The 26,399-nt window shown below is 48.3% G+C and overlaps 1 protein-coding gene across 6 annotated transcripts, besides 2 other annotated features; it reads left to right on the forward strand.

Annotated features, from left to right (window-relative positions):
- On the forward strand, positions 10,313-21,447 carry EXOSC2 (exosome component 2). 6 transcript variants are annotated; one of them, NM_014285.7, is made up of 9 exons: positions 10,333-10,466; positions 12,045-12,146; positions 14,135-14,180; positions 14,715-14,804; positions 15,882-15,947; positions 17,420-17,488; positions 18,687-18,863; positions 19,606-19,734; positions 20,247-21,445. In NM_014285.7, exons 1-9 carry the CDS (start codon positions 10,345-10,347, stop codon positions 20,325-20,327), a joined length of 882 nt encoding a protein of 293 aa, NP_055100.2. In that variant the 5' UTR covers positions 10,333-10,344; the 3' UTR covers positions 20,328-21,445. The 6 variants fall into 6 exon arrangements, 5 of the variants coding, with proteins under 5 accessions (NP_001269637.1, NP_001269638.1, NP_055100.2 ...); NR_104230.1 differs by lacking the exon at positions 17,420-17,488 and having other exon boundaries at positions 10,313-10,466; positions 18,112-18,863; positions 20,247-21,447; NM_001282708.1 differs by lacking the exon at positions 17,420-17,488 and having other exon boundaries at positions 10,313-10,466; positions 18,696-18,863; positions 20,247-21,447.
- Positions 10,396-10,585: an enhancer, noted in NCBI's record as "active region_29156". NCBI's record gives its function as "activates an Ori minimal core promoter by ATAC-STARR-seq in GM12878 lymphoblastoid cells {active_cell/tissue: GM12878}" and the evidence as "EXISTENCE:reporter gene assay evidence [ECO:0000049][PMID:35858748]".
- Positions 15,776-15,885: an enhancer, noted in NCBI's record as "active region_29157". NCBI's record gives its function as "activates an Ori minimal core promoter by ATAC-STARR-seq in GM12878 lymphoblastoid cells {active_cell/tissue: GM12878}" and the evidence as "EXISTENCE:reporter gene assay evidence [ECO:0000049][PMID:35858748]".

A 26,399-nucleotide genomic window follows, 5' to 3' on the forward strand; every position in this document is an offset into this window, starting at 1 on the left:
CCTATAGGGCCAGTCTCACCTCTCCTCTCCAGGAAGGAGGTGCGTGCAGGGGAGTGTGAGTTCACACCTGTGCTCCAGCATACACCAGCCATGAGGGTGTCATCGTCCAACCCACTGGGTGTGTGGTTTCCTGGCATCCCGCAGATACAACTCTGCATCTTCATCCAGCACACGTGTGCACACATGTGCACCTGCAGACACTTGGGAATTTACACTTGGACACACAGCCCAGCCCCACTTGGAACTTCAGGGGTGTACTCCTAAAGACCCCCTTACTTTGAGTGATTTGTCTTGGACCCTGGAAATGGAGGCACAGGCAGGGTTGGACACCTGATGAGTTCACTTGCAGGCCCCATCTGGGGTTCACTCCCTCAGGCCAGTGGGGGAAGTCACCTTTGGTTCTCCTCCCACTGGAACCTCGCTTCTCCTTTGACACCCCACCATTAGGCTCCCAATGCCTCCGGTGGCCCCTGCATTCCCCCCTCCCATGCAGCCCCCATCCAGGCCTCTTGTTCCCTTGACCAAAGCCTATCTGTCCTGAGTCCCCCTCCCTTGGATGCCAAGGGGTGAAAAGGCAGGTGCTTTTCCTGCCCACATGTTGAGACTCCCAGGAAATAATTCTGGCTTCCTGAAGTAGAGCCTCCCAGAGTCAGAACTCAGAGAGGTCAGTGAGGCCCTTGAACAAAAATCGAAATTGTTTTCTGTGGGTCATTCTGTCCTGTGAAGTCTCAGCTAACAGATCCAAGGATCCCCATCCCAGGCTCCAGAACCCACCTGGTGGTAGCTGGCTGTAACTGCAGACCAAGGTGCCTCTGGTCTGCCCACAGATCTGTTTCCACAGAAGTGTGCTGCCAGGGCCTGGGATACCAGGGTGAAAGGATGTGACTTGTGATTTGCACGCTGGAGGGAGGCATGATGCTGAAAAGCCTAACCTCTTACTTTGCTTGCATTTCCAGCAGAGGCCTAAGGCCCCTTTCCTGAGATTGCAGCCCCCCTAATCAAAGACATGCAAACACAGCCATGGCAGTTTCTGTGGGCCAGCCCTGGGCTTGGGGCTTTATTTTTATTTTTATTTTTGAGATGGAGCTTCACTTTTGTTGCACAGGCTGGAGTGCAATGGCTCACTGCAGTCTCTGCCTCCAGGTTCAAGCGATTCTCCTGCCTCAGCCTCCCAAGTAGCTGGGATTACAAGCACCCGCCAGCACGCCCAGCTAATTTTTTGTATTTTTAGTAGAGATGGGGTTTCACCATGTTGGCCAGGCTTGTCTTGAACTCCTGACCTCAGGTGATCCACCCACCTTGGCCTCCCAAAGTGCTGGGATTACAGGCATGAGTCCAGCCGGTCTTAGGGCTTTAAACATATGTATTCCAGAAATCCTCCTCACAAACCCACAAGTGGATACTACCCCCCAATCTTTTCCCCCAATGCTCTTTTAATCAATGTCCATGTGAAGTACAACAAAACAGAGGCATAGAGAGAGTAAATAATTTGCCACATCACTCATTCAGTGAGTGGCAGAGTGGGGTTCCCTTCAAGTGTCTGACCCCAGAAGCCACGCCTGTGACTATTAGGCCACATCACCTCCTGGTCAGCCCGCAGATTCAGTCCAAAGGGCTTTCTGCATCTCCCATGGGGATGCAGTGTAGTCCAGCACTGTATATTGACCTTGTATTTTTCAACCTAGCAAAACTCACTTATTCATTCCTGTACTTTTTTGTACATTCCTTAGGACTTTCTAAGCACATGATCATGTTACCAGTGAATAAAAACACTTTTACCTGTTCCATCCTAATTGGGATGTCTTTTATTTCTTTTTCTTGCCTTATTGCATGGTCCAAGACCTCCAGCAATAGAAGATTCTAGATAGAGGCCAATGATCTGGGTCTGAAACTCCACTCTGCCATTCACTAGCTGTGTGATCTTGGGCAAGTCAATTAATATCTCTGTGCCTCAGGTTCCTCACATGTAAAGTGGAGTGATATTTAGCTCCTAAGGTTGACATGAGGATCAAATGGGATAATGTCTATATGTGAATACATACATGACTCAGTGCTTGGCACATAGTATGTGCTCAATAAATTGGAATCTTTGTTAATACAAGCATGCCTTTGGCGGGTGAGAAGGGTGGCAGATGCTCCTACCACTCACCCCACTGGGCAGCCCCCAGAGGACATCTGAGGCAGCTGTTTGCACTCCCTTCCTTCAGCCCTTTCTGATGCCCATTCTTTTTTTTTTTTTTTTTTTTTTTAGACGGAGTCTTGCTCTGTCTCCTAGGCTGGAGTGCAGTGGCACGATCTCAGCTCACTGCAACCTCTGCCTGCTCAGTTCAAGCAATTCTCCTATTCTCCTGCCTCAGCCTCTCAAGTAGCTGTGACTACAGGCATGCACCACTATGCCCGGCTAATTTTTTATATTTTTAGTAGAGATAGGGTTTCACCACATTGGCCAGGCTGGTCTCGAACTCCTGACCTCCCAAAGTGCTGGGATTACAGATGTGAGCCACCGCGCTCGGCCGATGCCCACTATTCTTGAATCCCTTGAACTAGAGGAACGGACACTCTGAGTTTCCAGCTTCCCTCCTGCCTTGCAGGTGGCCTGCTGGGATGTATGTCTGTGGATGAGCAGAGGAAGTTATGGACAGTGGCAGGTTAGTTGCCAGGCATGGCTGTTTCTTCACAATATGATTGCCTCAGGATAGTCAGACTTCTTATGTGTCAGCTCAGGGCTTCAAAGGCAAGTGTTTCAAGAGAACCAGGAGGGCCGGGCGCAGTGGCTCACGCCTGTAATCTCAGCACTTTGGGAGGCCGAGGCGGGCGGATCATGAGGTCAGGAGATTGAGACCATTCTGGCTAACATGGTGAAACCCCATCTCTACTAAAAACACAAACAATTAGCCAGGCGTGGTGGCGGGTGCCTGTAGTCCCAGCTACTCAGGAGGCTGAGGCAGGAGAATGGCATGAATCTGGGAGGTGGAGCTTGCAGTGAGCTGAGATCAGGCCACTGCACTCCAGCCTGGGCTACAGAGTGAGACTCTGTCTCAAAAAAAAAAAAAAAAAAAAAAAAAAAAGGAGAACCAGGAGGAAGTGGCATGGTCTATTCTGACCTAGCTTTTGAAGTCACACAGAGGCATTTCTGACATATGCTGTCCATCAAAGCAGTCAGAATCCTGTCCTGTGGCAGGAGAGGATGCACAGAACCCACTTCTTTTTTTTTTTTTTTTTTTTTTTAATACGGAGTTTTGCTCTTCTTGCCCAGGCTGCGGTGCAGTGGCACAATCTCGGCTCACTGCAACCTCTGCCTCCTGGGTTCGAGCAATTCTCCTGCCTCAGCCTCCCGAGTAGCTGGGATTACAGGCGCCTGCCACCACACCTGGCTAATTTTGTGTTTTTAGTAGAGACGGGGTTTTACCATGTTGGTGAGGCTGGTCTCGAGCTCCCGACCTCAAGTGATCCACAGGCCTCAGCCTCCCAAAGTGCTGGGATTACAGGCCTGAGCCACCACTCCTGGCCAGACCCCACTTCTTGATTGAAGAAGTATGAAAATATTCAGGGACATGCTTAATATGACCATAGACATTGACACTGTTTCTAATACTTTCAGAACAAGTGATGCTTTGATGAGCATCCTTAGGCTGAAATCTGTGTGCACGTCTCTGCTTAGAAAGTTTATGCAGTTGGCCAGGCGTAGTGGTTCACGCCTATAGTCCCAGCACTTTGGGAGGCACAGGTGGGCGGATCACTTGAGGCTGGGAGTTCGACACCAGCCTGGCCAACATGGGGAAACCCCAGCTCTACTGAAAATATAAAAATTAGCTGGGCGTGGTGGCAGGCGCCTATAATCCCACCTACTTGGGAGGCTGAGGCACAAGAATCACTTGAGCCTGGGAAGTGGAAGTTGCAGTGCGCCAAGATCGCACCATTGTACTCCAGCGAGACTCTGTCTCAAAAAAAAAAAAAAAAAAAGGTTTATGCAGTTATTTTTACCATTTTACTATTTCAATGGAACACGAGGTGAACCCAGTAGGTAGATGAGGATTGAACCAAGAGTTTTGGGCTAGAGAGTCCCTGCTGCCTCTGTTTTCATGTTTTTCAGAATTTCCTTGCCAGTTACTTTCACCTGGAGTTCACCTGTTCCCCACCCCAACTCCTCAGGGTCCATGGTTCCCTCATTTCAAGGCTCATTCAAATGCTTCCTCTGTCAGGCAAGCTTTTCTGTCTGTCCTCCCTCTCCCTTCCCCATCTTTGAACATCTTAGCACTTTGATGACTGGGGCCTCAAATGATCCAGCTCTGTGGTCCCACAGCACATAGCTGGTGCCCAGCAAATGCCTGCTGAAAAAGTTTATTCATCAATTCAACAGAGATTTACTGAGAGATTTGTTGTTGTTGTTGTTGTTTGTTTGTTTGTTTTAATGGAGTCTCACTCTGTCAACCAGGCTTGAGTGGAATGGCACAATCTCGGCTCACTGCAACCTCCACCTCCCAGGTTCAAGCAATTCTCCTGTCTCAGCCCCTTGAGTAGCTGAGATTACAGGCACCTGCCACCATGCCCGGCTAATTTTTGTATTTTTAGTAGAGATAGTGTTTCACCATGTTGGCCAGGCTGGTCTTGAACTCCTGACCTCAAGTGATCCACCCACCCAGCCTCCTACAGAGCTGGGATTACAGACGTGAGCCACTGCGCCCAGCAGAGAGCTGTTTCAAGGGTCCTGAAATCTGACATGGTATGCCAACATGGAAATCTTTGTTCTAGAAACAAGAGGCAGGGTGCGCCATGCAGAGCCGCACAGGAAAGCACCGGGTTGGTCAGGAGGCAGAGGGAAGGAGGGGTAAACATGAGCAAGAGCCTTTATTGTGGTTTCCATGGGAAGGAATGGGTGAGGCAAGGTAAGCAGCCTTAGGATTGGTTGGTTTGAATAACTGCAGTAGGTGCTGGGGTTTATATAAGGGCTTTCCCTAGCTGTCTGGTGTCTGGCCTTGGGATGATCAGGGCAGTTGGATACTGGCCCTGAGTAAGAGAGCCTAATAAAGGAGGTGTTTGTGGGTGTGGGCTCTGGATTGGGTGGCATGCATTTGCAAGGGACCTCCTGGGTGAGTTCTTCACTATCTCCAGGAACCAGTTAACCCTGGTTGGGGCAGTCCCTCTGGGAAGAGCAAGTCCCCAAGATCTCAAAGCATCTGAGTACAGAAAAGCAAAGGCTCTGGGCACAGTGGCTCATACCTGTAATCCCAGCACTTTGGGAGGCCGAGGCGGGTGGATCACCAGGTTAGGAGTTCGAGAACAGCCTGGCCAACATGGTGAAACCCCGTCTCTACTAAAAATACAGAAATTAGCCAGGCGTGGTGGCAGGTGCCTAAAATCCCAGCTACTCAGGAGGCTGCAGTAGGTTCAAGAGGAGAATCGCTTGAGCCCAGGAGGCAGAGGTTGCAGTGAGCAGAGACCACACTATTGCACTCTAGCCTGGGCGACAGAGCAGGATTCCGTCTCAAAAAAAAAAAAAAAAAAAAAAAAAAGAGCAAATGCATGCTTAATACAAGGGCCTACTATATATCAAGCATATATACGAAATGGGCAGTGAACCAAATGGACAGTCTGGGTATTGGTGGGGCTCATATCCTGTGGGAAGACAGGCGATGAGCAGACAAGCAAATCTGTATTTTGTAAATATATTGTATTTTTTTCAACAAATATTTTATGGCTGCCCTGTGTGCCAGGCCTGGATCTAAGCATTGATATATGATGAACAGAATAGATAAAGTCCCTGTTTTCAGCAATGCATGTTCTAGTGGGGGGAGACTGCAATCAATGAACAAAAAAAAAAAAAAAAAGAAAGAAAATTGAAGCCCAGGCATGGTGGCTCACACCTGTAATCCCAGCACTGTGGGAGGCCAAGGTGGGCAGATCACTTCAGGTCAGGAGATTGAAACAAGCCTGGCCAACATGGTGAAACCCCGTATTTCCTAAAAATACAAAAATTAGCTGGGCGTGGTGATGGGTTCCTGTAATCCCAGCTACTCCGGAGGCTGAGGCAGGAGAATCTCTTTAACCCAGGAGGCAGAGGTTGCAGTGAGCTGAGATCGCGCCATTGCACTCCAGCCTGGGTGACAAGACCAAGTCTCTCTCTCAAAAAAGAAAGAAAAGAAAAGAAAAAGAAAAATCAGTGACAAGAAGTAAAACAGGATCAAGGGATTAAAAAAAAGGACTGGAAAGTTATTCCAGATAAGGTGATCAGGGAAGTCTTCTCTGAGGAGGTGATGTTTGAGCAAGCCATGAGTGAGGAGAAGGAGCCAGCCACACAAAAGCCTGGGAGAAGAGAATTCATGCAGAAAGAGACCAGAGTGAAGGGCCCTGGAGTGATGAGAAGCTTGGTGCTGTGGAACCGAGGGGAAGCCAGCTAGTCTTGAGGCAGGAGAATAGGGTCTGGAGGCAGGGAACATAAGGCTGATTCACACTGACTTTCTAGAACTAAATCAAAAGGAAAACCCCAACTTTCCACGTCCAAGTAACCAAAGGACCAGAGGCTACTCCCTTTGCAATCCCAGCTTTTCTGTGTGCAGATGAAAAACTGAAAGTACCTCTGATTGCTCCCTTCCCACTACCAGTCAGGCTGGTAGGTGGCCAAGTCTTCATTTGCATGGGAGTATAACTTTGTAACTTCACTTCAGCCTCTGATTGATAACTTTCCACAGCCAATCAGACATTGGCGTAGGGTGTAACTTTTAACTTCAGCCTCTGATTGGCCACTTTCCACAACCAATCAGACTGATCACGGGCCACTCCTTCATTTACACAGGGCGTACACCAAATAACCAATGGGAAACCTTTAGAGGGTATTTAAACCCCAGAAACTTCTGTAAGGAGCCTGTTGAGTTTCTTTGCTTGAGCTGTTCTTGCCCTGTAGAGTGTACTTTCGTTTTCAATAAATCTCTGCTTTTGTTGCTTTATTCTTTCCTTGTTTTGTCTGTATGTTTTGTCCAAGACGCCGAGAAGCTGGGCACCCTCCACCGTTAACAGTCCGGCTGCAGCATAGTGAGTAACGCAGTGGGTTAGGACGAGCGTGAGGTCAGAGACAGGCAGGAGTCAAGAAGTGCTGGAAGCAGAGAAGTGATTTAATCTGTTTTTAAAGCTCTCTCTGGCTGCTGTGCGGAGATTGGATGATAGGAAGGACAAAAGTAGAATTAGGAAGACAAGCTAGGAGGTTATCTCCCTGGTAAGAGATGCCGTTGATCAGCCTGGGGCAGTGGCTGCGGAGATGCACAGATGTGTGGCATCAGTGAATCTTAGACCTTTTCCGCCATTGAAATTACATAGGGAGTTAAAACACGCACAGACTTCTGGACCTTACCTTTGCAGAGCCTTGTGAAAGGCAAATAAATCTTGGGGCCCCAAAATCACTAAGCTAAAGGGAAAAGTAAGTCAAGCTGGGAACTGCTTAGGGCAAACCTGCCTCCCGTTCTATTCAAAGTCACCCCTCTGCTCACTGAGATAAATGCATACCTGATTGCCTCCTTTGGAGACGCTAATCAGAAACTAAAAATACAAAAAATGCAACCATTTGTTTCTTTTTTCTTTCTTTTTTTTTTTTTTTTTTTTTGAGACGGAGTCTCACTCTGTCGCCCAGGCTGGAGTACAGCGGTGCGATCTCGGCTCACTGCAAACTCCGCGTCCCGGGTTGAAGCCATTCTCCTGCCTCAGCCTCCCGAGTAACTGGGACTACAGGCACCAGCCACCATACCCGGCTAATTTTTTTTTTTTTTTTTTTTTTGTATTTTTAGTAGAGACGGGGTTTCACCGTGTTAGCCAGGGTAGTCTCGATCTCCTGACCTCGTGATCCGCCCACCTCGGCCTCCCAAAGTGCTGGGATTACAGGCGTGAGCCACCGCGCCTGGCCTCAACCATTTGTTTCTTATCTACCTATCACCAGGAAGCCCCTTCCCAGCTTCGAGTTGTCCAGCCTTTCCAGACCGAACCAATATTCATCTCACATATGTTGATTGATGCCTCATGTCTCCCCAAAATGTATAAAACCAAACTGCGCTCCGACCACCTTGGGCACAGGTTGTCAGGACCTCCTGAGCTTGTGCCACAGGCACATCCTCAATCTTGGTGAAATAAACTTTCTAAATTAACTGAGACCTGTCTCAGATATTCGGGGTTTACAGCCTCAATGCCTAAGGAATCTATACTTTTTACAAGCCCCCTGGGATGTGCTGCTTCGTCTCCGGGTACCCACTTGTCTACTGGTCGTAAAGGGGTAAGTGTGGCCGGGCTTGGTGGCTCATGCCTGTAATCCCAGCACTTTGGGAGGCCAAGGTGGGCGGATCACTTGAGTTTAGGAGTTCGAGATCAGGTTGGGCAACACGGTGAAACCCTGTCTTCACAAGACAAATACAAAAAATTAGCCGAGCCTGGTGGCATGTGCCTGTAGTCCAAGCTATTCAAGAGGCTGAGGTGGTAGGATTACCTGAGCCCAGGAGGACGAGGCTGCAGTAAGCCATAATCGTGTCATTGTACTCCAGCCTGGGTGACAAAGACTCTGTCTCGAAAAAAATAAAAATAAAAAAAGGTGCGTGTGATGATGCAGAAAGAGGAGCACTGGGGATGGGAGAGGGGGAGTCCCTGTCGTTTTGGATTCTAGTCCCAGTTACGGGTCTGTTTGGGGGGCTCGGTGGCCCCAAGTGATCATCAGGGATAGCAATGCCTATCTCGAAGATGGGCTGAAAGTGAGGAATACATAACATAGTATTTGTAAAGCACTCAGCAAAGGACCAGCCGAAGCACTCGGGCTATTTCTGGTAAAGGGTGCAGGCTCTGGGGTAAATCGCGTGCAGTTGGAACACACATCGGCTTTGCAGCCATCTGCTAATGTGAATTCCATTCCTTTTGGGGCCTCGATTTCCTCCTCCATAAACTGGTATCCACAATGCCAACCTTGTGAACGCTGTGAGAATGCGCGGGGTAAAGGCGACGTCTCTCCCTCCCGGGAAGAACTTGGATGGTGTCAGGCCTACACTCTCGCTCCGCCTAGGGCCGCTCGCTGGGCCTGGCTCCCCGGCTGCCGGGCTACGCGAGCTCAGAGGACACCATCGCCCTCTTATGGCCGCGGCAGGACTGGACCGAGGGGCTGGGCTCTAGTGCCTTCCTCCAGGCACGGCAGAGGGCGAGGGTCTGGCAGCCCGCTTACCCAGGGCCTCGGGGCACTAGCATTCATGTCATCGACTGCCTGGCAGGGCTGGCTTTCTTAAGTGTGGTCGTGAGACTTGCTTAAGTGGAAGAAATGCTGTCGCTTTGGAGATTTATAAAACAATTGGCTCGATGGATCTTTCTTCAGGAGGCGGACTTGGTTTACCGGCTTTACTGACCACAGCTGATGCCAATGATTTCATTTAATCGTCTTTAGAGTCCCTGTGCATGGGGAGTTACCATCCCCAATTAGTTTCTTGTGAATGCAGGGCAAGGAGAGGGAGAGGGTAGTGGGGGACGGGGAGAAGGGGCGAGGGGTACCCTCCTATTAAAACGGAGCCGCAGAAAAACCCACAGAGACATCCGTCTGTTCCCCGCTGAGTCCTTAGAACAGCGCCTGGCACACAGAGAGCGCTCAACTCGCTGTGTAACTAAATGCAAGCCAAGATCTTCGCATTGTGTGTGCTCTTCCCTTCCCTACCAAATATACCTGGCTTGCAAGGTTTGACCTGTTTTCTTAGACGATTTTTAACTTGTTTCCAAAAGAAATATTGGAGTAAATTAGCTTGTTCAAAGGAGTCCTTATGAAAGGACAGAACCAAGTGAGAAGTATCTGGAGCCCGGTTTGGGGTTATAGATGATGATGTTGAGCCAGCACCCACGGGGCGGCCGCAATGTAGAATCCTGGCGCTACTGGGAACCGTGTGGAAAGGGGCTCTTCTTTCTGTTCAAATAGTGTTTTCTGTAGATCCCATCTCTCCATCCTCCTGAGCTCTCTCTTACAAAATATCGGATTTCAGCAGCTTAGAATTGGACAGAAACTCAGAGGTCCGTTTCTCAATTATCTCTAACCCTGGTAAACAATAAATGGGATGATGAGTACAAGACAGTTTTGGTAAAAAGTCACACGCCACACAACGTGAGATTTTATTATTCCACGGGTGCTTCCTTGCCAATAGTAGACATGGCAGCTCGGCTCCCTTCCCTTCGGGTTCGCCTTATTGTTGCCAATTGTAAACATGGCCTCTAGGCCGTGAGTTCTCATTGGCAGCTGCTCTGAGTCCCCGCCCTTCCCCGCCCCTCCGAACGCGGCCTGGAGTTGTGGAGTCGGATATCGCAGCTCCCGACTGAGCTGCGCCTGCGCAACTCATTGGCGCCAAGATGGCGATGGAGATGAGGCTTCCAGTGGCTCGCAAGCCTCTTAGCGAGAGACTGGGCCGCGACACTAAGAAACATCTAGTGGTGCCGGGGGATACAATCACTACGGACACAGGATTCATGCGGTACGTGGGGACTTGGGGGAGTCGAGGCTTCAGAGAGCGGCTTCAGGGCTCTCTGCACGTGGTCCAGGCCTCGTATCCCTGTGTGTGTAACTCCCCGCGGGACCCAGGGCACTTCGTCTGAGCATCCTACACACCTCGCTTCCGAGCCTCGTGCTTCTTGCTCCCTGCATCTTGTGTGTCCCCGTCTGCATTTGTCTCAGCTCCCTGAAACCCTCCACTCCTGACCTCCGGTGGCTGTGACTTTTGGGTCTTCTGCCTGAAGTCCAAATCTTTGATCCTTCCTTGTGGGAGACCTGGAAAGCTGGGGAGGGTTAGGTGCAGGCTCTTTTCCAGTTTTCAGCTCTCTGAGGGGACGGTGGGCGTTCTTGGCTGCCTCCTCTTCAGTTTAGAATCCGTAATTGTTCGATCTTAGGGCAAACAGTTACATTGTGCTGCATGCACCCATTTATACACATTTTGAATCTAAGGGGTGTAGTGCAGTGTATTGTGGTTAAGAGGGAAGGCTCTTGAGTCAGACAGTTGGGGTTCCGGTCCTGCTACCATCACATCTTATTAGCGGCATTGCCTCTCCACGGTCAGTTTCCTCATCTGTAAGATAGTGATAATAACAGTATGATACGGTAATGAGGATTAAATGAGACAATTATGTAAGAAAAGAAGTAAAACCAGCCATTATATCATCATAGATAACACTAGTGTTTCAACCTTTATTATTATTATTTTTTTACTTGTATATGTACAAGGGGCACAGCATTCATAGCATTGCCCTTTAACCTGTTAGTTTAAGGTTAGTGGATACCAGGAAATTTTTTTTTCTTTTTTGAGACGGAGTCTGTCTTAGATCAGTCGTGCGATCTCGGCTCACTGCAACCTCTGCCTCCTGGGTTCAAGTGATTCTCCTGCCTCAGCCTCCTGAGTAGCTGGGATTACAGGTGCACGCCACCATGCCTAGCTAATTTTTGGTTTTTTTTTTTTTTAGTAGAGACAGGGTTTCACTGTGTTGGCCAGGCTGGTCTCGATCCCCTGACCTCAAGTGTGATCTGCCCGCCTCGGCCTCCCAAAGTGCTGGGATTACAGGCATGAGCCACCATGCCTGGCCCCTAGGAAATCTTAAGATTCATTCTTTCATTAATGCTTTCAACATATATTTTGTGCAGTTGGGTTATTATGGCAGAGTGAAAAATCTCTGTCCTGGTGGAGTTCTAACAGGGAGAGATAGATAATAAGCGCAATGAATAAGTTATTCAGAATGTTAGGCAATAATGCAATAGGGAAAAAAGTGGAGCAGGGTCAATGGTATGTGGGGGGAATGGTGGCAACAGGGTGGGCTGTGTTTTCAATGGCACAGTCAAGGTAGGCCTGCTGCAGAAAGTGACACCTGAGCAGACCTGAGTGAGAGGAGTGATGTCCAAGTAGCTGTCTGGAGAAGGAGCACTGAAGGCAGAGGGAGCAGCCAGCACAGAAGCCACGCTTTGCAGGGGGAGCCTGTTAGCTTTGAGGAACACGTTGTTCTTGAAGGGAGAGAAGTCATTTCGAGTTACCCTCGTATCCTTTCTTTGTATCTTCGCCTTGCATCAGGGGCCATGGAACGTATATGGGAGAAGAGAAGCTCATTGCATCTGTTGCTGGCTCTGTGGAGAGAGTAAACAAGTTGATCTGTGTGAAAGCTTTGAAAACCAGGTGAGAACAAAAGGTGTGTATTCCCTTTCTTGCAGCATCAGGTTGTACAACCAGGCTTTTCCTGCCCCCTCCTTATCCCCCACCCCACCCCTGCCTGCCCTGTCATGCTGTAAGTCTGAGGTTTTGACCATGACTGTAGGTGGGGTGGTGCAGATCAGTGCAGGCTTCAGAGGTTTCCCCATGTTATGTCACCACTCCAAGCCTTGGTTACCTCCTCTGCAAAGTGAGTATAATAGCATGGCCTACTTCATAGGATTTTCTCTTTTTTTTTTTTTTTTTTTTTCCGAGATGGAGTCTTACTCTGTTGCCGAGGCTGGAGTGCAGTGGCGTGATCTCGGCTCACTACAACCTTCGCCTCCCGGGTTCAAACAATTCTCCTTCTTCAGCCTCCCGAGTAGCTGGGATTACAGGCGCCCTCCACCACGCCTGGCTAATTTTTTTCGATTTTTAGTAGAGACAGGGTTTCACCATGTTGGCCAGGCTGGTCTCGAACTGCTGACCTCTGATGATTTCCCCCCACTTGGCCTCCCAAAGTGCTGGGATTACAGGCGTGAGCCACTGTGCCTGGCCTAGGATTTTCTTTAGAATTCAGTGAGATGGTGCCTGTAAAGTATTTAGCACAGAGCCTGATACCTAGAAGCATTCAATGAAGGTTAGCCCCAGAAAGCAAGCCAGTGGGGTTGGAACAGAGTGAGTGAGGGGGAGAGAAGGGGCAGATGTAAGCAGAGAGCTGAGGTGGGCGGGCGTGGGCCTGCCTTGTAGCCAGAGTAAGCATTTTGGCTTCTACTTTGTGTAATCTGGGAAGCACTGGAAGGGGTGGAGCAGAGGAGGGACTTGATCTGGACTTAAGCTCACTCTGGCTGCTGATGGGAGATTGAAGGGGGATAGGGCAAGCTTAGGGAGGTGGATTAGGGACCATACTCATGATCTGAAGTGATGGTGGCTTCAACTAAGGTGGGAGCAGTGGAAGGTGGAGGAGTGATTGGAATCTACACAGATTTTATTTTCCGAGTGTTTTTTTAAAATCATGAAAAGCTGTTGGGTTTTGTATTCTTTGGGCTTTACTGTGCATAGGACCCCGTCAACTGTGAATAGAAATAAGTTTACTTCTTCCTTTCCAATTTGGATGCCTTTTATTTCCTGCATATGTTTTAAGGGTAGAGCCAACAGGTTTTGCTACTGGACTTGTCCTGGAGCGTGAGAGAGAGAGAGGAATCAAGGAACTCTCCGAGGTTTTTGGCCTGAGCAACTGAGGGGATGGAGTCACCGTTGACTGAGATGGGGACAACTCATCCCCTATCTCGGTTTGCTATGGAGGACTGGAGGGGGCTGCGGGAAAGCTTAGTTTTGTGCTTGATACATTTGAAAATGCCTGTTAGTCATCTAGATGGCAGAGTTGGGTAGCTAGCAGTTGAGTAGGATTTGGAATTCAGGAGAGTGGCACAGTCACAGCACAGAGTGGTGTTTTAAAGGTATTAGATTGAGTGGCCGAAAAGTGAAGAGGTCTAAGGACTTAGCCTCAGCACTGAGTACGTCTCATTAGAATCGCGGGTAAGGAACTAGCAAAGGGGCTTGAGAGGAGCAGGCAGTGAGTAAGTGGAGGAGACGTGAGCAGACTTGTGTGGTTGGAGTCCTGGCTCAGATTTCCTTTCTCTTCCTTTGGCTGGTGCAGAACTCATCCATGTGCCACAGGAAAATAGTCCGTGTTTTTCATTGTCGTGTAATCGAACAAAATAGGGTTTTTGGGCTAAATGAACTACTTGGAATGGTGATATGTCTAAGGATAGTTAATGGAGACTTTATACGTGGAGGAATGTTTGAAGTTAGCAGTTTCTGAAAGTAAGTCCAGACAATATAGTTACATGAATTTGCTGAATGTGGCGCCTGTTCCAGGCTTTCACCCTGTTGAACCGACATCTCAAATGGTGTGTGGTCTTGTCAGAAAGTCTGCTCACAGATGGATGAACCCCTTGTGTTTTGTCTTTCAGATACATTGGTGAAGTAGGAGACATCGTAGTGGGACGAATCACAGAGGTAACGTCGATATCAGATTGGTGTTTACAAAGTCGAGGCAGGCTGGCGATTTCATTCATGGGACAGTCATTCCACTTGTAGTTACATGAAAAAGGCATTCATTGCATTTGGCCGTTGTGTGGCTTCTGATGTAAATATGTGGCTTGTTCGATTTCAGATTACTGGTTCATGTTTTTTTTTTTTTGAGATGGAGTCTCGCTCTGTCGCCCAGGCTGGAGTGCAGTGGCATGATCTTGGCTCACTGCAACCTCCACCTCCCAGGTTCAAGCGATTCTCCTGCCTCAGCCTCCCAAGTAGCTGGGATTACAGGCACCCGCCACCACGCCCAGCTAATTTTTGTATTTTTAGTAGAGATGGGGTTTCATTATATTGGTCAGGCTGGTCTCAAACTCCTGACCTCAAGTGATCCACCAGCTTCGGCCTCCCAAAGTGCTGGGATTACAGGCGTGAGCCACCACATCTGGCCTTACTGGTTATTTATGATATGACACATGAACATGGAGCATGTGTCCAGGTGTGGAACTTGGCTTATAGGTTCAACAGAAGAGGTGGAAGGTGGAGACCAACTCCAGGCTGGATTCGGTCTTGCTGCTCTCGTCCATGAACCTTCCTGGAGGAGAGCTGGTAAGGGCTACAGCTGGGGCCATGGACTAGGGCCCAGTGGGCTGGGGGGAGCCGTGGGACCCTTTGTTCCACCAGAGGACTTTGATTTACACTGAGGTTGCCCCTTTGACTCCTGTTTGTCTGCTGTGAAGTTTGCTGCCTAGATGTGTATGTAGACTTTTCACCCTGTCCAGGTCTCCCGAAAGAGGGAGCAGTTGGCATATGGTAGGATCAGAAACATCCATGGGGTGGGATCCCAACAGAGAGTTGGGGAGAGAAGCCCTTAGATGCTGGTTGTTAACAGTTTTCCTTTTTGGATATAACAGCCTTGCATAGTGAAGATGTTCCTTGAAAAGTTGTCTTTACATTAGGTTTTTGTGAATTGAAAGGCATTTCATTCAACCATGTGTGGAATGTGGTTGCTGGCATTCCAGACAACCACAGTAACTAAGCCACAGCCTTTTGTAAAATGCCATGGTTCACCTTGATCTTCAGTCCAGCGTGTATTTACAGAGAGGCTTACTGTGCCAAGCTCTGTGCCGAGTGCCAAGCACGATTGAGTTCCCCAGCAGGGGATATAAGATAACTGACCTAGTCCCTGGCAGTAGAAGAATAAATAAGCTGTGGTTATACAAAAGGAAATTTCAGTGAGAGAAGCTTGTAGGAAAGACAGGCATTGGAGTTGATCCTGGAAGGATGGAGAGACTTTGAATGACTAGTTCAGGGAATCTGAGATAAAGGGAAATGTATGAGCAGAGATATATCCAAGCAGGAGTTAGTCTGGTCCTGCTGGACCACAGAGGGCTGTCATGGAAGATGACTATGGAAATGTTGGCTAGGTGAGATTGGGAGGGGTCTGAATGTTCCTCAGAGAAGGGAGGGAAAGAGGAAGAGGAGCTGTGGAAAAGTCTTTTGAGATGGAAAGTCGTGATTATCACTGATTCCCCTCAAGTGGCTTGGGTTACCTACTCTTGCTATAGTTCTCAGTGCTTGAATATTGTGGTTGGCCTCAAACATCTCAAAAGGAAGTGAAAGAGAAGTGATGGAGACCTTTCTGAGGATCTGGCTTAAGTAATGTCATTTCTTTGTGTATTTCAGAGGAGAAGATCTGCAGAAGATGAGCTTGCAATGAGAGGTTTCTTACAGGAAGGGGACCTTATCAGTGTATCCTGCGCTTTGCACTCCAGCCTCTTGATGCTTTTCTGTGGGACTGGGAAATGGGCCTTCCATTGTATGTCTCTGACGGAAGAACCATGTCATCCTTGCAGGGATCCGAGTCTTAGACCAAGTGTCGGGCTCTGCTGCATCCTTTCTCAGTCTCCTTAATTCAGGCTGACTCCCCAGCTCTTGTTGGGACCTGCTGCTAAGTCATTTCTTTGGGTCTTGTAACTTACGGTGGCCTGTGCTTTAGACTAGGCTTTTGTTAATGGTGTTAACTTTTAGCGCAGGGAGTGGAGAAGGTGTTGTTCACGTCAAGATATTAATGACAGGCCGAGTGTGGTGACTCATGCCTGTAATCCCAGCGCTTTGGAAGGCCAAGGAGGGAGGACTGCTTGAGCCTAAGAGTTCAAGACCAGCCTGGGCAACATAGCAAGACCCCCCTCTCTACAAAAAAATTAAAAAAGAATTAGCCGGGCGTGGTGGCACATGCCTGTAGTCCTAGCTACTCAGGAGGCTGGGGCCAGAGGGTTGCTTGAGCCCAGGAGCTCAAGGCTACAGTAAGCTATGATCACACCACTGCATTCCAGCTTGGGTGACAGAACAAGACTCTGTCTCTATTTTATGTTATTTTTTAAATTTTTCTTTTTTTTTAATGACGGAGTCTTGCTCTGTTGCCCAGACTGGAGTGCAGTGGCGCGATCTCGGCTCACTGCAACGTCCGCCTCTTGGATTCAAGCAATTCTGCCTTAGCCTCCCAAATAGCTAGGATTACCGGCGTGCGTCATGCCTGGCTAATTTTTGTATTTTTAGTAGAGACAGGTTTCACCATATTGGCCAGGCTGGTCTCAAACTCCTGACCTCAGGTGATCTGCCCACCTCGGCCTCCCAAAGTGCTGGGATTACGGGCATGAGCCACCATGCCTGGCCTCTGTCTTTATTTTATTTATTTATTTATTTATTTATTTATTTATTTATTTATTTTTTTGAGACGGAGTTTCACTCTTGTTGCCCAGGCTGGAGTGCAATGGTGGGATCTCGGCTCACTGCAACCTCTGCCTCCCGGGTTCAAGCGATTCTCCTGCCTCAGCCTCCTGAGTAGCTGGGATTACAGGCATGCGCCACTATGCCCGACTAATTTTGTACTTTTAGTAGAGACGGGGTTTCTCCATGTTGGTCAGGCTGGTCTAGAACTCCTGACCTCAGGTGATCGACCTGCCTCAGCCTCCCAAAGTGCTGGGATTACAGGTGTGAGCCACCGCACCTGGCCTTCTGTCTGTATTTTTAAAAAAAAGATATTCATGACAACCAAGGGGAGAGGTAAGGTCACAGTGATGTGCTCTGGGTCAAAGATTGTTGAGCCTGGACCATTGGAGAGGGGAGGAAAAGATGGAGGTGTGGGGTCAAGGGGAGAGGCTGCAGAGGACAGGACAGTGTGTGGCCAAGGCTGCTGTTTGTTCCTTCATCACCCTGGCCAGGCTGAGGTCCAGGCAGTGTTCTCTGACGGAGCTGTCTCTTTGCACACGAGGAGCCTGAAATATGGAAAAGTAAGTCGGGCTCTTGATGTTCCTGTTTGCTGACTGAGACTACAAGGCTATTTTTGAATCCCCATAGCTCTCTGGAATTCTGGCCTAAAGAACCCCAGTAGCTAAGCATTAATAGAGGCTGGCATCCCACAAACTGATCGTGTTCCTTAAACGTAACATCAGGACGGTCAGGGTTCACAGGGTCATGGGTCAGTAGCCTTGTAAAGAACAAGTTTTATCCTTTTTCTCCAAGGAGACTGACTTTCACCAGAAGAGCCCCTCCAACTGTGGGCTGGGAGGTGCAGCTGTCTCTCTTCCTCCAGGGGGCGCTGCAGCTCAGCACTGGGGCTGAGGCTGTCCTGGGAACAAAGGCAGGCTGGGTCTGGTTAAACAGCCCTTAGACAAACGTCCAATCAGTCCAGTGGATGTTATTGCTGGCAAAGCTTGCTCTGTCATCTGAGCCTCTAAATGGAATTTCACTGCTTTTCTTGTACGAGGTTGCATTATTGAAGCTATTTACTATTTTAAGGAGAGCATACTTCCTAAAACAAATTAGGATTTACTAGTCTCTTAGCTTTATCTGGGTGAACGTTTTTATTTTCTGAGTGGAACAAAAACCTCTTCCCTTAATGGAGTGGCTGCAGACAGCCACGTTGATGTACATGGAGTAGGCAGAGGACTGCTGCAGTATGCTGACTTTCACAACCCTGGGTCCTGCGGACTCTTCCTTGGCAGGACGTGGACTTGAGCTGTCCTGCCAGGACCAGACATGGATTTGCACCCAGCTCCACCCATCTCCTTACCTACCCAGAGGCACACATCTCACAGGCAAGATGAGTGTTTGGGGTTCAGGTATGAGCTAGGGTCATGGAACAACGCAGTGCTCCTGGGCCAGCAGGAGGCTCCAGCTCACTTCCTCATTGGCTTCAGCTTCTCTAATGTCTGGCACATGAGTTCTGGCTTAGAGTGCAAGGAAGACTGCAAAGGGAAATGACAGAGAAGAGTATTGAAGGTCACCTTCTGCTGGGATGTATGAATAGCCTCTGAGTCCCAAAGCGTTCTCTGCAAAAATGTGTACTATGTGTATGCATGTAGGCGACAGCAATTATAAACAGGAAGGACACCAATTTGAATATACTTAGGATGTATATTCTGTAGTCTCCTTTTCATTCATCCCGCCAATCTTGCAGTGACCTAGCTTCGTGATATATTTCTTTAGCTAGGTCAGGGGGTTTTGGTCCAGGTTTCCCCCTCCCTGGTGAAACGGCAGAAGACCCACTTTCATGATTTGCCATGTGGTGCCTCAGTGATTCTCGGTAACAACGGCTTCATCTGGATTTACCCAACACCTGAGCACAAAGAAGAGGAAGCAGGGGGCTTCATTGCAAACCTGGAGGTGAGCAAACACTGTGGCCATTTTCAGTGGGATGGAGGGGGCTCAGTCTTTGCTGTGTTTTTGTGGCCAGTGAAGTTGGTTGTTTTTAGCTATGTTACTGGTGTAGGCTGAGTCACTTTGACTTTCCATCACGGTATGTTCATGAAGCCCATATTATCTTCTCTTCTAAGGAGATGAATTCAGTGAATGGTTTGGTGTTTGTTGGTGGAGGTGGCAAAGTTGCAGGGTAATAGCCGAAGAGCCAGTGAAGAAGCCATTCTTTTTCTGTTTTTTTGTTTGTTTGTTTTGTTTTGTTTTGTTTTGAGACGGAGTCTTGCTCTGTCGCCCAGGCTGGAGTGCAGTGGTGCCATCTCGGCTCACTGCAAGCTCCACCTCCTGGGTTCAAGTGATTCTCCTGCCTCAGCCTCCTGAGTAGCTGGGATTACAGGTGTGCCCCACCATGCTCTGCTAATTTATCTATTTTTAGTAGAGATGGGGTTTCACCATGTTGGTCAGGCTGGTCTTGAATTCCTGACCTTGTGATCCACCCGCCTCGGCCTCCCAAAGTGCTGGGATTACAGACATGAGACACTGCACCCTGCCCCATTCCTTTTAATCTCCCTTGGAATTAGCTGTTTGGTTGATTTGGAGTTCCAGGGTGATACTGTCTGAGTCATAAATGATTTATTTGTGAATTTCTGTGGCTGGTCACGTATTTTGGTCCTGTTTGTATTTCCCTTCCCCTCTCTGTGTCTCCTTATAGCCTGTCTCTCTTGCTGATCGAGAGGTGATATCCCGGCTTCGGAACTGCATCATCTCGCTGGTAACTCAGAGGATGATGCTGTATGATACCAGCATCCTGTACTGCTATGAAGCATCCCTTCCACATCAGGTACTCTCCCCAGGGCCTCTCCCTTCTTCACTGATCTGTGAGCTGCTCTGTTGTTTGTTCAGAGACAATATGCACATCTCCCCAATACTTTCCCAACATCCGTCAGTATGAACTGGCCTGAAACAGCCTTAATGAGTGTCTGGTAGATCTTTCCCTAAGAAACTTGCAATATTCTCAATGCCTAGTGTCAGTCTAAGGATTTTGGGGCAGGAGGTGTCAGGTGGGACTAGTTTATGAGAGCAACCTCTGGACTACATCTTACCTCTCCCAAATTTCAGCCAGCTTTTGGATGAATGTCAGAATAATATCTTTGTTCTTGTCGACTATATCCCAGAGCATCTTGCTGATTTATTAGGCTGCTTCTAGCAGATCATATCTTGTAACGCTTAGTCTCTGAGACATGAAAGGAATACAGAAAGTTTATGTTAACGGCTTGATTTATGTTTGGATTGGCTTGGTGGTCTGTTTATGGTTGGTTTCTTTTCTGAACAAATGCCTTTTCCCTTTTTCAGATCAAAGACATCTTAAAGCCAGAAATAATGGAGGAGATTGTGATGGAAACACGCCAGAGGCTTTTGGAACAGGAGGGATAAGGAGGTGCTCCAGAAGCACGGGACTGTGGACCTTGCAGGAGTGAAGACTGTGATGTGTGGTCCCCATATGTGGCTCAGCAAAGACTCGAGAGATCATCCCTTTGTCTGCATTGACGGCCCTGTGACGGCCTCCAGCCCACAGGCCTGCTTTCTCCTGTCCTAACACCAAGCCTGGGTGGCAGATGAACAGTGCTTCCTTGGGTTGCCAGCTGAGTCCCGGTATTAGGGAATAGTTTCAGCTCTTTCAAAGTGCACAGTGTTACAGTCGAATGGGCTCCCATCCTGGAATAATATGGAGAATCCTTTGTCTTCCACTCACTGTCATTCACAAGGCACAGTGCCCCATGAAATTGCCCCAATAGAAAACATGGCATCCCTGACCTCCAAATGGTCTGTTTTGGCCTCCATTCCTATATCCTTTAAATGACTGAGAATGCAGCTGGTAAAGTTGGAAGAATAAAGTTAACCAAGCAGGCCAGGCACGGTGGCTCACGCCTATAATCCCAGCACTTAGGGAGGCCAAGGCGGGCAGATCACCTGAGGTCAATAGTTCGAGACCAGCCTGGCCAACAAGGTGAAACCCCATCTCTACTAAAAATACAAAAAATTAGCCAGGTGTGGTGGTGTGCACCTGTAGTCCCAGCTATTTGGGAGGCTGAGGTGGGAGAATCACTTGAACCTGGGAGGCGGAGGTTGCAGTGAGCTGAAATCGCGTACCACACTCCAGCCTGGGTGACAGAGCGAGACTGTGTTTCAAAGAAAAAAAAAAACAAGCAGCCTTTTGCTTGGTTGGAATCTGATTTTCTGTTGCGTGTTCCTTGTAGCCATAGATGTGATTATGTCCACACCGGGCTGCCTTAATCTGTCCTGCTTGGAGAGTGACTTGTAAGATGCTGAATTATTCATGATAATACAGTGAATGTTCTGGGTCCATGTACTCAGATAAACATGAAGAAAATAAGCAAAGAAAAATGGAGACTGGGAAAGCAAAGCTGTTTTCATCCTATAATTGAAGTAGTGTGGAGCATTAACTTGTGGATGATTCAGAGTTAAAAGATAAAAAGACGCCAGAGTTCTCGCTGAAGAATGTGAGAATTCCTGTGCATTGTTTTTTCTGATGACTATCTAAAAATGGTGCCCTGATGTAGGTTTGGGGGAACATTCTTAAAAACAAGGGTGCTATGTGCCTGTAATCCAGCACTTTGGGAAGCTGAGTGGGCAGATCACCTGAGGTCAGGAGTTCAAGACCAGCCCGGCCAATACAGTGAAACCTCGTCTTTACCAAAAATACAAAAATTAGCCGGGTGTGGTGGCACAAGCCTGTATGTAGTCAGCTACTCAGGAGGCTGAGGCATGAGAATCGCTTGAATTCGGGAGGCGGAGTTGCAGTGAGCTGAGATCGCACCATTGCACTTCAGCCTAGGTGACACAGTGAGACTGTCTCGAAAGAAAGGAAAAGAAAAGGCGGCCGGACGTGGTGGCTCATGCCTGTAATCCCAGCACTTTGGGAGGCTGAGGTGGGTGGATCACAAGGTCAGATCGAGACCATCCTGGCTAACATGGTGAAACCCCGTCTCCACTAAAAATACAGAAAAAACAAACCATAGCCTGGCATGGTGGCTGGCACCTGTAGCTCTACTACTTGGGAGGCTGAGGCAGGAAAATGACGTGAACCCGGGAGGTGGAGCTTGCAGTGAGCTGAGATCGTGCCACTGCATTCCAGCCTGGGTGACAGAGTGAGACTGTCTCAAAAAAAAAAAAAAAAGGGACACTATATGCAAGCGCTGTCTTCACATATGTGGCAAACTTGTTTGTTTGTTTTTGAGACAGAGTGTCGCTGTGTCGCTAGGCTGGAGTGCAGTGGCTCGATCTCGGCTCACTGCAACCTCCACCTCCTGGGTTCAAGCAATTCTGCCTCAGCCTCCCAAGTAGCTGGGACTATAGGCATGCGCCAACACGCCCAGCTAATTTTTGTGTTTTTAGTGGAGATCGTTTCACCATGTTGAGCAGGCTGGTCTCGATCTCTTGACCTTGTGATCCACCCGCCTCGGCCTCCCAAAGTGTTTGGATTACAGGTATGAACCACTGCACCCAGCCATATTTTTTGATATTTATAGACGTCTTTTTTTTTTTTGTTTTTTTGAGACGGAGTCTTGCTCTGTCACCAGGTTGGAGTGCAGTGGCGCGATCTCGGCTCACTGCAACCTCCGCCTCCTGGGTTTAAGCGATTCTCCTGCCTAAGCCTCCCGAGTAGCTGGGATTACAGGCACGTGCCACCACGCCCAACTAATTTTTGTATTTTTAGTAGAGGTGGCATTCTACCATGTTGGCCAGGATGGTTTTGATTTCCTGACCTTGTGATCCCCCCGCCTCAGCCTGCCAAAGTGCTGGGATTACAGGCGTGAGCCACTGAGCCCAGCTATAGATGTCTTAACATCATTGTTTTCTGTTCTTTTGTTCCGGGTAATAATAAGGAGCTGAGGACAGCTGAGGAAGGGCTTGGCTGACAAAATGCCTTCCGACAGAGCCCTAACTACTCCACGTAAACCTAGGACAGTCTCAATGGTAGTAACTTTGAACACTGCATTTGATAACTTTCAAATACAACTTGGCTCTTTTTCATTAAATGGTATGCTTCTCTATAACAACACAATAAACAACTTCTTACCTCACTTTCTTTTTTTGAGACAGGGTCTCACTCTGTCACCCAGGCTGGAGTGGGGTGGCATGGATCACAGATCACTGGAGCCTCTACCTCCCAGGCTCAAGTGAACCTATCTTAGCCTCCCGAGTAGCTGGGTCCACAGGCATGTGACGTACCACCATGCCTGGCTTTTTTTTTTTTTTTTTTTTTTTGAGACAGGGTCTTGCTCTGTCACCTAGGCTGGACTGCAGTGGCACAATCACGTCTCAACCTCCTGGTCTCAACCAGTTTCCAACTTCAGCCTTCTGAGTAGCTGGGACTACAGGTGCTGAGCCACCACATCCAGCTAATTGTTTTTGTTTTTTGTTTTTCGGCAGAGATGAAGTCTCACTATGTTGCCCAGGCTGGTCTTGAACTCCTGACCTCAAGCAACCCTCCTGCTCAAGCCATCTTCCCACCTTAGCCTCCCAGAGTGTTGAGATTACAGGCATGAGCCACCACACGCTGCCTATTTTTTTTATTTTTACGAATTTTTTTGTTGTTGCCCAGGCTCAAGCGATCCACCCACCTTTGCCTCCCAAAGTGCTGGGATTATGTGTGTGAGCCACAGCTCCTGGCCTCTTTTTTTGTTTTTCCTATCCCAAGTTGTATTACTAGTTTTGGGGAGTTTGCAGACAATTGAATATTCTATAGGCTGTGTTGCAGCTTTAGATGGATCGACCTGTCATGTTTTTGAGGTTATCCAGGCTGTATATCTCTGGAGAGAAGGGAATGGCAAAGAGTGGGAGTCTGAGTCAAGTTTGGTTTTGTTTTTTTAAGAGACAAGGTCTCTGTAATCCAGGCTGCAGTACACTGGCATGACCATGGCTCACTATAGACTTGGGCTCAGCCAATCTTCCTGCCTCAGCCTCCTGAGTAGCTGGGTTTGGTTTTCCCCAGGGCCATATGTCAGCTTATTTACCCTCCTCACTTGGTGTCTCCCAGCCTGCCAGCCCATGCTGTTCATCCAGTATCTGCTGAATGGTGATTACCTATTAAGTGGAACTAACACAAAATTGCTTATCTAAAAGCAATTATTGGTGATTATTTCCTTGCAGTGGCCCACTAGAGGGCGCCATTGTTAAGTGTAATTCCAGTAGGTGTTTTGTGTTTTTTTTTTTTAATGGAATAAACTGAAATCTTTACATGGTACTGAATCCCTTTAGCAACTTGGGGGGTTGCTTTAACTGAATCACTTTTAATGAAGATATATGAACTTGAAGGGATTTATTCAATATATGACAATATTACTCAATATTACTTTTTTTTTTTTTTTTTTTTGAGACAAAGTCTCGCCCTATCCCCCAGGCTGGAGTACAGTGACGGGATGTCAGCTCACTGCAACCTCCGCCTCCCGGGTTCACGTGATACTCTTGCCTCAGCTTCCTGCATAGCTGGGACTACAGGCACCCACCACCACGCCCAGCTAATTTTTTTGTTTGTTTGTTTGTTTGTTTTCCTGAGACGGAGTCTCACTGTCACCCAGGCTGGAGTGCAGTGGCGTAATCTTGGCTCACTGCAACCTCCACCTCCCGGGTTCAAGCGATTCTCCTGCCTCAGCCTCTTGAGTAGCTGGAACTACAGGCACGTGCCACCATGCCCAGCTAATTTTGTGTATGTTTAGTAGAGACGAGGTTTCACTGTGTTAACCAGGATGGTCTCTATCTTCTGACCTCGTGATCTGCCCGCCTCAGCCTCCCAAAGTGCTGGGATTACAGGAATGAGCCACTGCGCCCAGCTGAATTTTTATATTTTTAGTAGAGATGGGGTTTCGCCATGTTGGTCAGCCTGCTCTTGAACTCTTGAACTCAGGTGATCTGCCTGCCTTGGCCTCCTGAAGTGTTGGGATTACAGGTGTGAGCCACCACACCCAGCCAAGCAATATTTATTTCCGATTGTCAGGCATTTGCCAGGCTTTGGATTCTAGTTTTTAAGCCCTTAACAGTATCATTCAGGGCCTATGTTCTCAGGACCTCTTGAGACTGTGCCTCGGTTTTTAAAAAAAGTATCATTCTACAGTATTATACAGGCATTTTTAAAGTACAGTGCATTGGCCGGGTGCGGTGGCTCACACCTGTAATCCCAGCACTGTGGGAGGCTGAGGCGGGCGGATCACCTGAGGTCGGGAGTTTGAGATCAGCCTGGCTAACATGGGGAAACCCCATCTCTACTAAAGATACAAAATGAGCTGGGCGTGGTGGTGGGTGCCTGTAATCCCTCAGGAGGCTGAGGCAGGTGAATCGCTTGAACCCGGGAGGTGGAGGTTGCAATGATCCGGGATCGTGCCACTGCACTCCAGCCGGGGTGACAGAGTGAGACTCTGTCTCCAAAAAAAAAAAAAAAAAAAAAAATACAGTGCATCTCTAGAAAAAAATACTAGAGTCTGGGCATTGGGCATGGGGCTCACCTAAAACAAGAAAATGGCAAAGTGGAAAACTAGGGATAAGGCTTTAGATCAGGTGCAGCTGACCTCTGCTGTGACTCCCAGGAAGCATAGTCCCAATCTTTGTGGAAAACCAAATGAGATCTAGTTTGATCCTCATGAACCCTGTCTCTACAAAACAACAACAACAAAAAAACGTAGGTGTGGTGGCATGTCCCTGTAGTCCCAGCTACTTGGGAGGCTGAGGCCAGAGGATCACCAGAACCCAGAAAGTCGAGGCTGCAGTGAGCTGAGATTGTGCCAGTGCACTCCAGCCTGGCCAACAGAGTAAGGCCCTGTCTTCAAACAAACAAATCAAATTAAACAAAAAACCCAAAACCCTTGTAAAGTAAGCTATGACCTCCATTTACGGGTGAAGAAATGAACTCAGAATTAAAGGGACTTGATGAAGCCCCTTTGAATTGTGAATCAATGTAGATTTAAGCTCTAGGGAGGTGTCATAATGCAGTCCTTTAGAGGATGGACTGGACTGACTGAAAGTTTATGGACCCAGAAATTTAATTCCAGCATTGAGGCTGATCTTTTGTTTGGATTGTTATTTTGCTTATTGCCCATCCTTCCATGTAGGTTCCATGAGGACAAGGGTGGGTTTCTTCCCCCACCACTGTGTCTCAGCACCTAAAGCAGTGCTTCACATACAGATGTTCAATAAATGCTTCTTAAGTGAATTGTTATTTATTTTTTGAGACATGGTCTCTGTCTCCCAGACTGGAGGGCAGTGGCGCAATCTCAGCTCACTGCATCCTCTGCCTCCCAGACTCAAGCAATTCTCCTGCCTCAGCCTCCCAAGTAGCTGGGATTACAGGCATATGCCACCACGCCCGGCTAATTTCTGTATTTTTAGTAGTGAGGGGTTTCACCATGTTGGCCAGGCTGGTCTCAAAACTCGTGACCTCAAGTGATCCACCTGCCTCGGCCTCCCAAAGTCCTGGGATTACAAGTGTGA

This window comes from Homo sapiens, chromosome 9 (genome assembly GCF_000001405.40).
Source record: "Homo sapiens chromosome 9, GRCh38.p14 Primary Assembly".
Taxonomy (NCBI): Eukaryota; Metazoa; Chordata; class Mammalia; order Primates; family Hominidae; genus Homo; species Homo sapiens.

Coding starts and splice junctions, on each gene's coding strand:
- EXOSC2 (NM_014285.7), top strand. CDS start 10,345: ATGGCGATGGAGATGAGGCTTCCAGTGGCTCGCAAGCCTCTTAGCGAG. Junction 12,147..14,134: donor GTGAAAGCTTTGAAAACCAG/GTGAGAACAAAA, acceptor TTTGTCTTTCAG/ATACATTGGTGAAGTAGGAG. Junction 14,805..15,881: donor ACCTTCCTGGAGGAGAGCTG/GTAAGGGCTACA, acceptor TGTGTATTTCAG/AGGAGAAGATCTGCAGAAGA.